This window comes from Homo sapiens, chromosome 3 (genome assembly GCF_000001405.40).
Source record: "Homo sapiens chromosome 3, GRCh38.p14 Primary Assembly".
In the NCBI taxonomy this organism is placed as follows: Eukaryota; Metazoa; Chordata; class Mammalia; order Primates; family Hominidae; genus Homo; species Homo sapiens.
Window position 1 is genome coordinate 104,680,608 of NC_000003.12, and position 17,790 is coordinate 104,698,397.

Here is a 17,790-nt window from a genome sequence, read left to right on the forward strand (position 1 = left end):
ATTATCTCCCACCGGATCCCTCACGCAACAGATGGGAATTATGGGAGTACAATTCAAGATAAGATCTGAGTGGGGACACAGAGCCAAACCATATCAAATCTCTACAATGGAAACTGTATAACACTATTAAAGAAATCGAAAGAGACACTAAAAAATGGAAAAATATTCCATGTTCAGGGGTTGAATCAATATTGTTAAAATGCTCATACTACCCAAAGGAATCTATAGATTTAATGCAATCCCTATCAAAATACGAATGACATTCTTCAAAGAGTAAATAGTCCTAAAATGTATATGGAAACACAAACAATCAGAATAAACAAAACCATCTGAGAAAAAAGAACAAAACTGGAGGAAGCACATTACCTAATTTCAAATTATACTACAGAGCTACAGTAACCAAATCAACATGGTACTGACATAAACACAGAAACATAGACCAATGAAACAGAATAGAAAAACAAAAAATTAATCCCTACATCGATAAACCATAAACTCATATTTGACAAAGGGCCAAGAACATAAATTGGAGAGAGGACATTCTCTTTAATAAATGGTGCTGGAAAAAATTGACATCCATATGCGGAAGAATGAAACTAGACCCCTATCTCTTACCATATACAGAAATCAAAATGAATTAAAAACTTAAATCTGAGTCCTGAAGCAATGAATCTACTAAAAGAAAACTTTGAGGAAACTCTCCAGGACTTTGGCCTAGGCAAGCATTTCTTGAATGATAATCCAAAAGTACAGGAAAAGAAAGCAAACATGGACAAATGGGTTCACATAAAGTTAAAAATTTCTGTACAGCAGACTAAACCATCAAAAAAGTGAAAAGACCACACACAGAATCCAAGGAAATACTTGCAAACTATGCCTCTGACAAGGGAATAATAACCATAATATATAAGGAGCTCAAACAACTCAATAGGAAAAAAAATAGTAATCTGATTAAAAATACACAAAAGATTTGAGTAGACATTTCTCAAAAGAAAACATACAAATGGCAAACAAGCATATGAAAAGTGCTCAATATCATTGATCATCAGAGAAATGCAAATCAAAGCTACAATGAGATTTCATCTCACCCCAGTTAAAATAGCTTTTATTCAAAAGATAGACAATAATGAATATTGGTGAGGATGTGGAGAAAAGGGAACTCTTGTACTCTGTTGGTGAGAATGTAAATTAGTATGGTCATTATGAAGAACAGTATAGAGGTTGCTCAGAAATCTAAAAATGGAACTACCATATGATACAGCAATCCCACTGCTAGTTCTACACCAAAAAGAAAGGAAATTAGTATATTAAAGAAATATCTGCATTTCCTTGTGTATTGCAGCACTATTCATAATAGCCAAGATTTGATAGGAATGTAAGTGTCCATTATCAGACAAATAGATACAGAAAATTAGAGTACTGTTCAGCCATAAAAATGTATTAGATTCTGCCGTTTGCAACAACATGGATGGAACTGGAGGTCATTATGTTAAGTGAAATAAGCCAGGCACAGAAAGACAAATTTCACTTGTTCTTTATGTTTTATGGGAGGTAAAATTTAAAATAACTGGACTCATGGAGATAGAGAGTAGAAGGATGGTTATCAGAGACTGGGAAGTGTAGTGTGTATTGGGGAAGTGGGGATGGCTAATGGGTACAAAAATATAGGTTGATGGAATGAGTAAGATCTAGTATTTGAAAGCACAACAAGGTTACTACAGTCAACAGTAATTTATAGTACATTTCAACATAACTAAAATAGTATAACTGGAAGGTTTATAAAACAAAGAAATGATATACGTTTGAGGAGATGGATACTCCATTTTCCCCAATGTGATTATTATGCATTATATGCCTGTATCAAAATAAATCATGTACCCCATAAATATACACACCTACTATGTACCCACAAAATTTAAAAATTTAATGAAAATAAAAATGTCAATATCATTGAAGTAATATTATATATGTGTGTGTATATATATATACATGCATACACATACCATATACACACACACATACACATATATATAGATAGTATTATTAGAAAAAGAATACTATAGCTTGATCATCTCTTGACACGGATGCATATAAGTCTACCTAATTCTTTTTAATGACTTCATAGTATTTCATTCCATACATCTACCATAACTCATATTCTAATAATTGACTTTGAAAATGCTTAGTTTATATTCTATTAAATACCATAATAAAATATCCTGATGTATATATCTTTATTCTTTTGAGTGAATGTAAGTATATCATACAGGTTTGGCAATACAATTGCTATATCAAAGAGGTCATGTTTTTTCAATTCTGATGGCTATTGCAGAAATGTCTAAAAAATTTATGCAGTTGCCAAAAACATATGAGAGTGTCTGTTTCTTAATATCTGAAAACTGGAAAATGATGAAAATGTTTTATATTCTTTTTAATGACTAATTAAAATCTTTTTAATGACCTCATAGTATTTCATTTCATACATCTACCATAACTCATATTCTAATAATTGACTTTGAAAATGTTTAGTTTATACTCTATTAAATACCATAATAAAATATCCTGATGTATATGTCTTTATTCTTTTGAGTGAATGTAACTATATCATACAGTTTTAGCAATACAATTGTTATATCAATGAGATCATGTTTTTTCAATTCTGATATTATTGCAAAAATGTCTAAAAAATTTCACACTTGCCAAAAACATATGAGAGTGTCTATTTCTCAGTATCTGAAAACTGAAAAATGATGAAAATTTTTTATAGTTGTCAAATAGGTGGCAAATCATATCTCCTTCTGACTTTAACATTTCTGAATATAGGACTACTGTACTGTATTTTATATTTCTCATTCCCTAGCTTTTTAAAAATATTTTTACTACAAATTATATGTGCCAATATTTATTTATTTGTTTATTTATTTATGAGACAGAGTCTCACTCTATCACCAAGTCTAGAGTGCAGTGGCATGATTGTGGCTCATTGCAGCCTTGAACTCCTGGGCTCAAGCGATCCTCCCACCTCAGCCTCCCAAGTAGCTACGACTACAGACATGTGCCACCATATCCAGCTAATTTTTATTTTTATTTTTTAGAGACTCTCACTTTGTTACCCAGGTTGGTCCTGGATTCCTGGCCTCAAGCAATCCTTCCATCTCGATCTAAATGGTCAGGCATGAGCCACTGTGCTGGGCTACATATACCAATATTTATATTGTTCAAGTTTTTAAGTTCTTGAATCAAATAGTCATTACAAATTTATTTATATTATTTATTTGCTCTTTTTCTGTATAATTCAAACATGTTGATACACATCATGGGAGTTAATTAGTTTCCCTGTGCCACTGTGGCCCAGTGTTGAATATATTACATTTCCTTTAATCCATCCCCCTGTTTTACATTTGAGTTCTTACTTTCCTGCTGTTCGAAATAATGCTGCTATTAACATTCTTCTATCTCCTAGTGCAAGTATATAATTATCTTATCAAAGGAACATAATTTTTGATATGTGTAGGTAATTCTAATTTATTATTATTACTATTATTATTATTATATTATTATTTTGAGACAGAGTCTCACTCTGTTGCCCAGGCTGGAGTGCAGTGGTGCAGTCTCGGCTCACTGCAACCTCTGCCTCCTGGGTTCAAGCGATTCTCCTGCCTCAGGCTCCTGAGTAGCTGGGACTACAGGCACCCGCCACCATGCCCAGCTAATTTTTTGTGTTTTTAGTAGAGACAGGGTTTCATGGTGTTAGCCAGGATGATCTCAGTCTCCTGACCTCGTGATCAACCCGCCTCGGCCTCCCAAAGTGCTGGGATTACAGGCGTGAGCCACCATATCCAGCCTCCAAATCAATATCCTTGTAAGAAAGTGTCATGGTATTTTCTGACTTTCCAATTTTTATCAATTAAGTTGTTAAAGTGGTTTCTTACTGCGGTTTCATTTGTTTTTCTATGATTTCTAATAAGGTTGACCATTTGTCTTTATTTGTATTGGTCACTCATATTATTGATTCTAGGCAATGCCTTTTTTTCATATTTGGTCAACTAGTTTTTTTTTTTAACTGATTTTTTAAAGTGGTACCTGTTTTATATTTGCCTATTTTTGGTTATATGTGACAATTTTAATTTCCCATTTAGAAAATTATGTTTTCACTTTTAAAATTTATAATTTTAAAAACCGCATTTTAGTATGATCTATTTTATTAATGTTTTTATTTTTGTAGATGTTTCTGTTGACATTTTCTTCTAGAATCATTTTCTACCTCAAAATAAAAACTGTCTTTTCTTTTAAATGCTTTATAACATTAATTATCACAAAGAAGTGCTTTTCTCATGGAGTGTGTGTGTACTAGAAATCCTTTGTCATTGTTCCACATGACTTAGTAATTGCCCCAGTACCATTATTGAATAGATCATCTTTTCGCATTGATCTCACCGCTGTTATATATTGAATCTTCATATGTTTGTGTGCCCTTGCCAATACATTTTTATTCAATTTCCCTCTTTTGGTTTTTCTATTTGCTATCCCTTCCCAACACCAACCTTGGAATATCTATTGTATAACATTTGCTACTGATAATACTGTGCCATTATCATTTTATCATTATTAATTTAGCTTCATTATAATTTTTATATCAGTTAGGGCCACCCAATCTTAACATTTTGCTTCAAAAATGTTTTGGCCCTTTCATGGACTCTAATACTTCTACAATTACTTTAAAATGAGTGTGTCAAGGACCATAAAAATTATTTTGGATTTTTCCTTAGAATTTCATTGAAGGCATTAAATTATAAGTTAATTAAGAAAAAGTAATATCTGTACTAATGAATAATGTCTCACATGAACATGAACATAAACCTTCATTTCTTTTAGTTCTTTTGCAGTTTTACTCATGAACATATCACATCCTGTTTGTTACACACATTTTTAAAATTTTTTTATATTTTCTGTAATTAAGAAATAATATAGATATTGTTTTTAATTTCTAAAGCAAAGGATTTACTCTTATTTTAATTTTCATGTTTAAGTTAATGTATCAGAAATCAATTCAAATTATTTAATGTATTTTAAATCAATTTAAATTATTTAATTATTTTTAAAATTATATTAAGAAAATTAAATTCATTTTATTTAAATTAAATTTGTGCTGACAGAATATTATCTGCACAATAACAATCTTTTCAATATGTTGAGATTTTTATGATGTAGAATATGATGAATTATCATTAATATTGCCTCTGAGCTTGAAGAGAATGAATATTCTTCAATTATTAGGTGGAAGGATCTACAGATGTTCATTATTTTAAGTGTGATTGTATGTAGTTTAAATCTTCTCTATCTTTATGAATGGTGTTAATTATTCAATATGTCATCACTAGAATGTTAAATTCTCCAAATATATTGTTAATTTTGTCCATTTCTTCTTATAATTCTAATCAAATTTATTGATTTTCTTGGTTTTTGAAACTATATGATTAGACACATATAAGTTCTGAATTGTTACATATTCTTGATGTATTTAAATTCATCATTATCAACTACCCTGATTTCCTAGCATTAGGTTACTGTTTGCCTTGTATATATATTTTTTGACACCATTTATTTTTAATCTTTTAATTTTCCAACTTTTTAGGTGAATCTTGAATAAAATGCACACTGTGATACTTTAAAAAATTTCTGTAAGATAACATTTATTCATAACTACAGGGATTCTTTTCATATCAATAATGAAATCATAATTTTCATTATTTTGACAGATATATTTTTATTATTTCTAGCCTATGACTTTATTCTTTCTATTTATCTTACTTTTTCTGTATTTCTTTGCGTCTTCCTCAATTTTGTATTTATTGAATAATCTATATTAATATCTACATATACACAAAAATGTACATTATGTATGATACACATACAATAAGATGCATTAAATTTTAATAGGGTAGTTTAATCTTGATGTATGCACCTGTGTTATTACCACTCTTTTTGAAATATTTGAAAACATTAGAATTACCTCAGCATATTCCCTCATGCTTAATGCTGTTAATCCCTGCAACGCTTTCACTTTCTGACATCTGTGGATTACGTTATTATGTATCACCATAAGCTACATTTTCCTGTTCTATCTTCATATAAATGGTATCACATAGTTTATATTATTGTGTATCTAACCTAATTTACTCAATATAACAATGAAATTGAGAGTTACTTTAATTAGAACTATGCTAGTGGATGTAAAATGACATGTTATCGTGACTTCAATTTGTGTTTTTTAATAATAGTATTGAGTTTATTGATTGTTTGTCTTTTTTTTGAAGTGTTTGTTCACAGTATTTTTTTATTTATATTGGATGGTTGAGTTGTAAAAGTCACAAATGTATTTTAGATATACACCCTTTCCCTGATATATTTGTTATAAATATTTTCCCCAGTGTATCACTTGTCTTTTTATTTTCTTAGTGGTATCTTTCAAAGAGCAGTTTTTAGTTTTGATAAAGTTGAATTTATTATTTGTTTCTTTTATGATTCATGCTTTCTATATTATAGAAAAAATTGCCTTTGCCAAGGACATTATAATTTTTTTCTCCCATAGATACGCAATTGTTTTGTTACAGAGCAATCAGTGGGCTTTCTGCCTGGCGTGCATAGAGAAGGCCAATATCATAGCACCAGCTTTTGAAAAAAAGAAAGCTTTACTGTGAGTCAACTGGCAAGGAGACAAAAGGAAAAGCTCAAATCTTTTTCCCTGAACTGGGGTTTGGGCTGAGTTTTATAAGCATAAGGTAATGAGGTGTGATCTGATTGGATCTTACAATGAGGTGAGGCCAGGAGACATGATCTGACTGGATCCTGAATCCAGCCCTGTCGTGTCCACTTCTTAATTCAGTCCCTGCTCCTGGGACCAAACACTTAGGTTCCACCTGTGGTTGCAGAGTTGGTTCATCTGGACATGCTCAGGTTAAGTGATCTTTAACCTGTCAGTCCACAGCAACTGAAAAACAACTCACAAGCGCCGGGCACGGTGGCTCACGCCTGTAATCCTAGCACTTCGGGAGGCCGAGGCGGGTGGATTGCCTGAGCTCAGGAGTTTGAGAACAGCCTGGGCAACGCTGTGAAACCCCGTCTCTACTAAAATACAAAAAATTAGCTGGGCGAGGTGGCGGGTGCCTGTAGTCCCATCTACTCGCGAGGCTGAAGCAGGAGAATCACTTGAACCCGGGAGGCGGAGCTTGCAGTGAGCCGAGATCCTGCCACTGCATTCCAGCCTGGGCGACAGAGCGAGACTCCGTTTCCAAAAATCAAAACAAAACAAAAAAACCTCGCAACTTTCTTACCTGAAAGTTGAACCAGATTCATCCGGCGCAGTTATAGTTTCAAAATAATTTGTTAAAATGACACTATATATGAGATTCTATTTCTATCCTATAGATCTATATGTCTATCTTTTTTGTTTGTTTGTTTGTTTTTGAGATGGAGTCTGGCTCTGTCGCCCAGGCTGGAGTGCAGTGGCGCGATCTTGGCTCACTGCAAGCTCTGCCTCCCGGGTTCACGCCATTCTCCTGCCTGAGCCTCCGGAATAGCTGGGACTACAGGAGCCCATCACCATGCCTGGCTAATTTTTTTTGTATTTTTAGTAGAGACGGGGTCTCACCGTGTTAGCCAGGATGGTCTCAATCTCCTGACCTCGTGATCCGCCCACCTCAGCCTCCCAAAGTGCTGGGATTACAGGCGTGAGCCACTGCGCCTGGCCGTATATGTCTATCTTTTTGCCATTTATGTACTGTCTTAATGAATGCAACTTTATGATAAGTCTTGAAATCAGGTACTATGAGTCCTCTAAGTATTTTTATAAAGGCTATTCATGGGCTTTGCACTTTTAATATAATTTTAGATAAATTTTATAATCAGAAATAGTATACACTAGAAGACAATATATTGATATTGTCTAAACAATGAAAGGAAGAGGAAGGAAAATGTTGACTCAGAATTCAGTATCTGGTGAAAATATCTTCAAAAACAATGGCGTAAAAATACGATTTCACATAATTGAAAGCTGAACTAATTTGTTAATAACACACCTAAATTACCAGCAAAGTGAAAGGGAATATGTGAGTGTGAACATAAATTATTCCAGAAGGAAACTTGGATCTATGGAAATAATAGAGAGCACCATTATTTCCCTGTATGTGTCATTTTTCTCTGACTGCTTTTATGACTTTTTTCATTGGCTTTAGTTTTTAACAGTTTGACCATAATGTGCTTACAATGTGTGGTTTTATTTCCATTTTTTATCTACATGGTTTGTTTAGTATGATTCAGCAGGTCACATATTTTTCTTGATAAATTTTTCTCTCTAATGTTAAATTGTATGGTTTCTATGACTTTATTTTAAATTCACAAATCCTTTCTTCTGCTGTCTCTACTCTGCGATTATGTCCTTTCAGGGAAGTTTTTATGTCAATTATTGTTCTCTTCAATTCTAGAATTTTCATTTGGTTTTATAAGTTTTTATTTCTCTGATTCTTTATCTCATTAAGACTATACATTTCATTAAATATATTTATAATAAGGGTTTTAAAGTTCCTTTTTGCTAGTTCTACATACATATACTTCTTCAATTCATGCCTGAAATATATACAGGATGGAATTATATGGGTGGAACTTTTTGCTAGATGAATGTATTAAAATAGGCCTGAATTTAAGAACTACTTTTACTCTTCACCAGTATATGGTCTGAAACTCATGATTCCTGTGGAGAAGATATAGGTCACTTGGGAGCCAGTCTTGAGATATATTAAATCATGCCTAAGGAGGCCAGTAGGAGACGGAAGATAATTTCAGAAGTAAGGGGTTGGGAAAGTACTTTTTGAAGTTCAGCAGAGGAAAGAATTTTGAACGACTCTCCAGGGTGATAAATTTGTCCATGTCAAGAAAGCTGATGGTGAGGGATTCTAAAGTGAAAGGATAATGTTTCAGCTATCTGAGAGTGTGCCCATAAGAAAAAAAAAAATTAACATTGCTGATTCCTAGAAGAAATCAATGCCAGATTAGTGAAAGTCAAGTAAAAGCTTTTCTGCATGCCTTCTTTTCTTTTCTTCCAATTTAACCCTGGAGGAGTTCAAAGTAATGTAATAATTGAGAAGCATAAAAATGTTAGACAATGATGCAGAGAATACCTCAATCGAGGCCTACCTTTTTCACCAAATTCTCTTCATTTTAGGAGATTTGGGCTGGGCAAGGTGCAGTGGTAGAGATAGGGCAGTGAGAGAAAAAGACATGATTATTTCTTTGCAAATCTATACATTTGTAAAGAAATTAATAATTCATACGTTTCTTCACAGATCTCCAATTTCTAAGTTTTTGTATTTTGTTTTGTTTTCTTTTGCTTTTTTAAAATCTTAAATGAGACAGTTATTTTCTTAGTTAAGACTGTTCTGTGTCTAAAATAATAGAATATTTTAAATTATTACTTTCAAATAAAAACAATTTATGAGGTCTTGTAGAGATCAGTCAGGAGCAAGACAGGAACTAACCACATAAAGTGAGTATGAATAGGATGGGATTATATGTGAATAAAGTTGTTTTCCAATTGTCCCTTACAAGTACATATTGTTGAACTTCATTGGTGTGTTTTGCTCAAAATAAAATTTGCTTTGCCAGGTAGTGATAACAGCCTAGGACTGTTTTAAATTAAACTGTTGGGCTTTATTGTTTCATTTACTTATAAGGATTGATATATATTTATGATTCCTGGGGAAAGTCTTTTTGTTTTCTCCTGCCTAGAGCCAAGATAGGAGTCTCTATGCTCCCCCCTTTTTAAAAAATGACATCTTTTAAAGTTTAGTAACAAGAAATTCTGGCCTTATATGGGGCTTGAAAAACTGATTCCCCATCTTGCCTGGGCCCAAGACTTTGCCTCCTGTCCCTTTAAACAGAAGGGCTAATGTACTAGAGATAAGACGTTCCCTTCATTATAGCTGTCTACCTTGAAACTAGCTTGTCTTTGAATTCCTGCACATATTTTGATGTGGTCTCTTAGAATTGTTTTTAATTTTGTTGCAAACTGATTCATGGTTGGGAGGGAAGAAGAGAGGTTTTTTTAAAATGTTATTTAGCCTTTTGGTGTATTTTGTGGTTAAATTAATTTTCAGTATACCCTGTTGGTCATATTTCTGGTAATTGAAGCACTTTCATCTCTTTGAGGATAATTATCATATTTTTAAAATTCTTGATCAGTATCTTCTACTACAGTTTGTTTGGATTTTTCTCTCTCACTCTCTCTCTCTAAGTTCCTTAGATATCTGGTTGTTTGTGCCTCTCAGCTTACTTTCTTTTTGTCATTTTGTTTTATTATTATTATACTTTAAGTTCTAGTGTACATGTGCACAACATGCAGGTTTGTTACATACGTATACATGTGCTGTGTTGGTTTGCTGCACCCACTAACTTGTCATTTACATTAGGTATTTCTCCTAATGCTATCCCTCTCCCATCCCCCCACCACATGACAAGCCCTGGTGTGTGATGTTCCTCGCCCTGGCCCTGTGTCCAAGTGTTCTCATTGTTCAACTCCCACCTATGAGTAAGAACATGCAGTGTTTGGTTTTCTGTCCTTGAGATAGTTTGCTGAGAATGATGGTTTCCAGCTTCATCCATGTCACTACAAAGGACATAACTCAACCTTTTTTATGCCTGTATGGTATTCCATAGTGTATATGTGCCACATTTTCTTAATCCAGTCTATCACTGATGGCCATTTGGGTTGGTTTCAAGTTGTTGCTATTGTGAATAGTGCCACAGTAAACATACGTGTGCATGTGTCTTTATAGTAGCATGACTTATAATCCTTTGGGTATATACCCAGTAATGGGATCACTGGATCAAATGGTATTTCTAGTTATAGATCCTTGAGGAATTGCCACACTGTCTTCCACAATGGTTGAACTAGTTTACACTCCCACCAACAGTGTAAAAGCATTCCTATTTCTCCACATCCTCTCCAGCACTTGTAGTTTCCTGACTTTTTAATGATTGCCTTTCTAACTGGTGTGAGATGGTACCTCATTGCGGTTTTGATTTGCATTTCTCTGATGACCAGGGATGATGAGCATTTTCTCTTGTGTCTGTTGGCAGCACAGTCTTCTTTTGAAAAGTGTCTGTTAACATCCTTTGTCCACTTTTTGATGGAGTTGTTTGATTTTTTCTTGTAAATTTGTTTAAGTTATTTGTAGATATTAGCCCTTTGTCAGATGGGTACATCGCAAAAATTTTCTCCAATTCTGCAGGTTGCCTGTTCACTCTGATGGTAGTCTCTTTTGCTGTGCAGAAGCTCTTTAGTTTAATTAGATCCCATTTTTCAATTTTGGCTTTTATTGCCATTGTTTTGGTGTTTTAGTCAGGAAGTCTTTGCCCATGCCTATGTCCTGAATGGTATTGCCTAGATTTTCTTCTAGGGTTTTTATAATTTTAGGTCTAACATTTAAGTCTTTAATCCACCTTGAATTACTTTTTGTATAAGGTGTAAGGAACGGATCCAGTTTCAACTTTCTACATACAGCTAGCCAGTTTTCCCAGCACCATTTATTAAATAGGGAATCCTTTCCCCATTTCTTGTTTTTGTCAGGTCTGTCAAAGATCAGATGGTTGTAGATGTGTGGTGTTATTTCTGAGGCCTCTGTTCTGTTCCATTGATCTATATCTCTGTTTTGGTACCAGTATCATGCTGTTTTGGTTACTGTAGCCTTGTAGTGTAGTTTGAAGTCAGGTAGCATGATGCCTCCAGCTTTGTTCTTTTGGCTTAGGATTGTCTCGGCAATGTGGGCTCTTTTTTGGTTCCATATGAACTTTAATGTAGTTTTTTCCAGTTCCGTGAAGAAAGCCAATGGTAGCTTGATGGGGATGGCATTGAATGTATAAATTACCTTGGGCAGTATGGTCATTTTCACGGTATTCATTCTTGCTATCCATGAGCATGGAATGTTCTTCCATTTGTTTGTGTCCTCTTTTATCTTGTTGAGTAGTGGTTTGTAGGTCTCCTTGAAGAGGTCCTTCACATCCCTTGTAAGCTGGATTCCCAGGTATTTTATTCTCTTTGAAGCAATTGTGAATGGGAGTTCACTCATGACTTGGCTCTCTGTTTGTCTGTTATTGGTGTATAAGAATGCTTGTGATTTTTGCACATTGATTTTGTATCCTGAGACTTTGCTAAAGTTGTCTGTCAGCTTAAGGAGATTTTGGGCTGAGACGATGGGGTTTTCTAAATATACAATCATGTCATCTGCAAACAGGGACAATTTGACTTTCTCTTTTCCTAATTGAATGCTCTTTATTTCTTTCTCTTGCCTGATTGCCTTGGCCAGAATTTCCAACACTATGTTGAATAGGAGTGGTGAGAGAGGGCATCCCTGTCTTTGCCAACTTTCAAAGGGAATGCTTCCAGTTCTTGCCCATTCAGTATGATACTGGTTGTGGGTTTGTCATAAATAGCTCTCATTATTTTGAGATATGTTCCATCAATACCTAGTTTATTGAGAGTTTTTAGCATGAAGGGCTGTTGAATTTTATCTAAGGCCTTTTCTCCATCTTTTGAGAGAATCATGTGGTTTTAGTCTTTGGTTCTGTTTATGTGATGGATTACGTTTATTGATTTGCCTATGTTGAACCAGCCTTGCATCCCAGGGATGAAGCCAACTCGATCTTGATAGATAAATTTTTTGATGTGCTGCTGGATTCGGTTTGCCAGTATTTTATTGAGGATTTTTGCATTGATGTTCATCAGGGATATTGGTCTAAAATTCTCTTTTTTTTTTTTTTTTTTTTTGTTGTTGTTGTTGTTGTTGTGTCTCTGCCAGGCTTTGGTATCAGGATGATGCTGGCCTCATAAAATGAGTTAGGGAGGATTCCCTCTTTTTCTATTGATTGGAATAGTTTCAGAAGGAATGGTACCAGCTCCTGTTTGTACCTCTGGTAGAATTTGGCTGTGAATACATCTGGTCCTGGACTTTTTTTGGTTGGTAGGCTATTAATTATTGCCTCAATTTCAGAGCCTGTTGTCTATTCAGAGATTCAACTTCTCCCTGGTTTAGTCTTGGAAGGGTGTATGTATCCAGGAATTTATCCATTTCTTCTAGATTTTCAAGTTTATTTGCATAGAGGTGTTTATAGTATTCTGTGATGGTAGTTTGTATTTCTGTGGAATCGGTGGTGATATCCCCTTTATCGTTTTTTATTGCGTCTATTTGAGTCTTCTCTCTTTTTTTCTTTTTCAGTCTTGCTAGTGGTCTATCAATTTTGTTGATCTTTTCAAAAAACAAGCTCCTAGATTCATTGATTTTTTGAAGGGTTTTTTGTGTCTCTATTTCCTTCAGTTCTGCTCTGATCTTAGTTATTTCTTGCCTTCTGCTAGCTTTTGAATTTGTTTGCTCTTGCTTCTCTAGTTCTTTTAATTGTGATGTTAGAGTGTCAATTTTAGATCTTTCTTGCTTTCTCTTGTGGTCATTTAGTGCTATAAATTTCCCTCTACCCACTGCTTTGAAGGTGTCTCAGAGATTCTGGTATGTTGTGTCCTTATTCTCATTGGTTTCAAAGAACATATTTATTTCTGCCTTCATTTTGTTATGTACCCAGTAGTCATTCAGGAGCAGGTTGTTCAGTTTCCATGTAGTTGAGCGGTTTTGAGTGAGTTTCTTAATCCTGAGCTCTTATTTGATTGCGCTTTGGTCTGAGAGACAGTTTGTTGTGATTTCTGTTCTTTTACATTTGCTGAGGAGAGCTTTACTTCCAACTATGTGGTCAATTTTGGAATAAGTGTGATGTGGTGCTGAGAAGAATGTATATTCTGTTGATTTGAGGTGGACAGTTCTATAGATGTCTACTAGGTCTGCTTGGTGCAGAGCTGAGTTCAAGTCCTGGATATCTTTGTTAACCTTCTGTCTCGTTGATCTGTCTAATATTGACAGTGGGGTTTTAAAGTTTCCCATTATTATTGTGTGGGAGTCTAAGTCTCTTTGTAGGTCTCTAAGAACTTGCTTTATGAATCTGGGTGCTCCTGTATTGGGTGCATATATATTTAGGATAGTTCACTCTTCTTGTTGAATTGATCCCTTTACCATTATGTAATGTCCTTCTTTGTCTCTTTTGATCTTCGTTGGTTTAAAGTCTGTTTTATCAGAGATTAGGATTGCAACCTCTGCTTTTTTTTTTTTTTTTTTTTTTTTGCTTTCCATTTGCGTGGTAGATCTTCCATCCCTTTATTTTGAGCCTATGTGTGTCTCTGCACATGAGATGGGTCTCCTGAATACAAAACGTTGACGGGTCTTGACTCTTTATCCAATTTGCCAGTCTGTGTCTTTTAATTGGGGCATTTAGCCCATTTACTTTTAAGGTTAATATTGTTATGAGTGAATTTGATCCTGTCCTTATGATGTTAGCTGGTTATTTTGCCCGTTAGTTGATGTTGTTTCTTCCTAGCATCGATGGTCCTTACAATTTGGCAAGTTTTTGAAGTGGCTGGTACTATGTGTTCCTTTCCATGTTTAGTGTTTCCTTCAGGAGCTCTTGTAAGGCAGGCCTGATGGTGACAAAATCTCTCAGCATTTGCTTGTTTGTAAAGGATTTTATTTCTCCTTCACTCATGAAGCTTAGTTTGGCTGGATTTGAAATTCTGGGTTGAAAGTTCTTTTCTTTAAGAATGCTGAATATTGGCCCCCACTCTATTCTGGCTCGTAGGGTTTCTGCAGAGAGGTTTGCTGTTATTCTGATGGCCTTCCCTTTCTGGGTAACCTGACCTTTCTCTCTGGCTGCCCTTAGCATTTTTTCCTTCATTTCAACCTTGGTGAATCTGACAATTATGTGTCTTGGAGTTGCTCTTCTCGAGGAGTATCTTTGTGGTCTTCTCTGTATTTCCTGAATTTCAGTGTTGGCCTGCCTTGGGGAATTTCTCCTGAATAATATCCTAAAGAGTGTTCACCAGCTTGGTTCCAGTCTCCCTGTCACTTTCAAGTACACCAATCAAATTTAGATTTGGTCTTTTCACATAGTTCCATATTTCTTGGAGGCTTTGTTTGTTTCTTTTTACTCTTTTTTCTCTAAACTTCTCTTCTCACTTCATTTCATTCATTTGATCTTCAATCGATACCCTTTCTTCCACTTGATCGAATAGGCTACTGAAGCTTGTGCATGCATCACGTAGTTCTCCTGCCATGGTTTTCAGCTCCATCAGGTCATTTAAGGTCTTCTCTACACTGTTTATTCTAGGTAGCCATTCAGCTAATCCTTTTTTAGCTTCCTTACAATGGGTTCGAATATCCTCCTTTAGCTCAGAGAAGTTTGTTATTACTGACTTTCTGAAGCCTACTTCTGTCAACTTGTCAAAGTCCTTCTCCATCCTGCTTTGTTTCATTGCTGGTGAGAAGCTGTGATGCTTTGGAGGAGAAAGAGCACTCTGCTTTTTAGAATGTTCAGCTTTTCTGCTCTGGTTTCTTCCCATTTTTGTTTTGGTCTTCGGTGATGTTGACCTACAGATGGGGTTTTGGTGTGGATGTCCTTTTTGTTAATGTTGATACTATTCCTTTCTGTTTGTTAGTTTTCCTTGTGAGAGTCAGGTCCCTCAGCTGCGAGTCTGTTGGAGTTTTGCCGGAGGTCCACTCCAGCAAACGCTTTTTGCCTGAGTATCACAAGCAGAGGCTGCAGAACAGCAAATATTGCAGAACAGCAAATATTGCTGCCTGATCCTTCCTCTGGAACTTTGTCTCAGAGGGGCATCTGGCTGTATGAGGTGTCAGTCGGCTTCTACTAGGAGGTGTCTCCCAGTTAGGCTACACAGGGTTCAGGGACCCACTTGAGGAGGCAGTCTGTCCGTTCTCAGTGCTCAAACACCATGCTGGGAGAACCACTGCTCTCTTCAGTGCTGTTAGACAGGGAAGTTTAAGTCTGCAGAAGTTTCTGCTGCCTTTTGTTCAGCTGTGCCCTGCCCCTGGAGGTGGGGTCTAAAGAGGTGGGCAAGCCTTGTTGAGCTGTGGTGGGCTCCACCCAGTTCGGGTTTCCCAACCGCTTTGTTTACCTACTCAAGCCTCAACAATGGCGGATGCCCCTCCCCCAGCCAGGCTTGCCGCCTCGCAGTTTGATCTCGGGCTAGCAGTGAGCAAGTTTCCTTGGGCATGGGACCCAGTGAGCCAGGTGCGGGATATCATCTCCTGGTGTGTCGTTTGCTAAGACCATTGGAAAAGTGCAGTGTTTAGGTGGCAGTGTCCTGATTTTCCCAGTACAGTCTGTCACGACTTCCTTTGGCTAGGAAAGGAAATCCCTTGACCCCTGGCGCTTCCCAGGTGAGGCGATGCCCTGCCTTGCTTTGGCAAAGCATCCCCTTTCCATGGACTGCATCCACTTTCCAACCAGTCCTAATGAGATGAACCAGATACCTCAGTTGGAAATGCAGAAATCACCAGTCTTCTGCGTTAATCATGCTGGGAGTTGCAGACAAGAGCTGTTCCTATTAGGCCATCTTGGAATGGAACCTCTCTTTTTGTCTTATTTTTAAGAGGGGTGAGGTGCATGCCCCAAGGCAGACAGCTCACATCTCCCTGAGACTGGCTTAATTCTTTCTCTTCCATTCACTTTCCCGTCACTGGGTAATCCTGTCATCCTGTGACTCTCTGTATGTCAGACCTAGACACTGCTCTAGTCAGAGCACTTAATGTTCTAAAGGTGTTAGTTAGGGAACTAAAATGCTTAAGGACAAGTGGGTCAACCTATCTTATTGTCATTTGCTTGTCAGTCCCTAACCAGCCCTTAGTAACATGTTCTCAGGCCAATCTCTGCAGTGGTGGAGAAGCAGGCAGTGACATTCCTAAGGAAATGTGATACTCAGGCAAAAAGCGTTTGCTGGAGTGGACCTCCAGCAAAACTCCAACAGACTCGCAGCTGAGGGACCTGACTCTCACAAGGAAAACTAACAAACAGAAAGGAATAGTATCAACATTAACAAAAAGGACATACTATTGTGGGACTGCAGGACCAGTCTTGGCTGTGTCTTGGGCTAATACTATTCTCACCAGCATTCAACTGCCCTGTCTCTCCCAAGGTTTAATTTAATTAATGCCCCAGGTAGGATGAAGCAGGATAGTGTGAGATTTTATCATGTTACTTAGAACAGCACGCAATTTAAAACTTAGGAATTGCTTATTTCTGGAATTTACCATTTAATATTTTTGAACCATGGTTGACCATGGGTAAATAAAACATTGGAAATTAAAACTGTGGATAAGGGGGAATTACTGTATTTTAATGGATTTAAGTGAAAAACTAATAAACAGTTACTGAGCATTTAGCATGTTTTAGACAATAAACTCATTATTTTCTATACATGATCTCAATTTATTTTGGCTAAAATCCTCCAAAACAAAAGTAATTATTTACTTTTTAAATGGAATGAGAGGAGAGAACAGAATCAAGGTAAGTAACTAGGAAAGGATCAAACTCACAGTTTGTGGTATAGCCAGAATACTAAATCCAGATCGCTTTGATTCCAAAATTGTTGCTCTCAACATATGCTATAACCAACATGGGAACCAGATCATACCACATAATACCTAAATGTTCTGTGGTACAGTGATATTGACTAAAATGAATTTGGAGGTCCTTTAATTCTATAAATTCAATGTTAAACTTGTTCAATATTTGCGAAGTAAGATATACCTGTAATCATGAAAACATTCCACTTGTTTCATTGCAGGAAAAAAAATTAGTAATGCATATAGAACATTTTCTAAGTAGACATCTAATTTGTGATAT

At 35.8% G+C, this 17,790-nt stretch overlaps 1 long non-coding RNA gene across 1 annotated transcript in view, besides 1 other annotated feature; it reads right to left on the minus strand.

Moving 5' to 3' along the window:
- Nucleotides 1-17,790, minus strand: part of LOC107986108 (uncharacterized) — a 279,502-nt gene that overhangs the window by 50,127 nt on the left and 211,585 nt on the right. The gene's annotated exons all lie outside the window — the stretch shown is intronic.
- Nucleotides 16,074-16,574: an enhancer, noted in NCBI's record as "H3K4me1 hESC enhancer chr3:104415525-104416025 (GRCh37/hg19 assembly coordinates)". NCBI's record gives its function as "activates a minimal SCP1, AML or CMV promoter by ChIP-STARR-seq in primed H9 embryonic stem cells {active_cell/tissue: H9 hESC(primed)}" and the evidence as "EXISTENCE:reporter gene assay evidence [ECO:0000049][PMID:30033119]".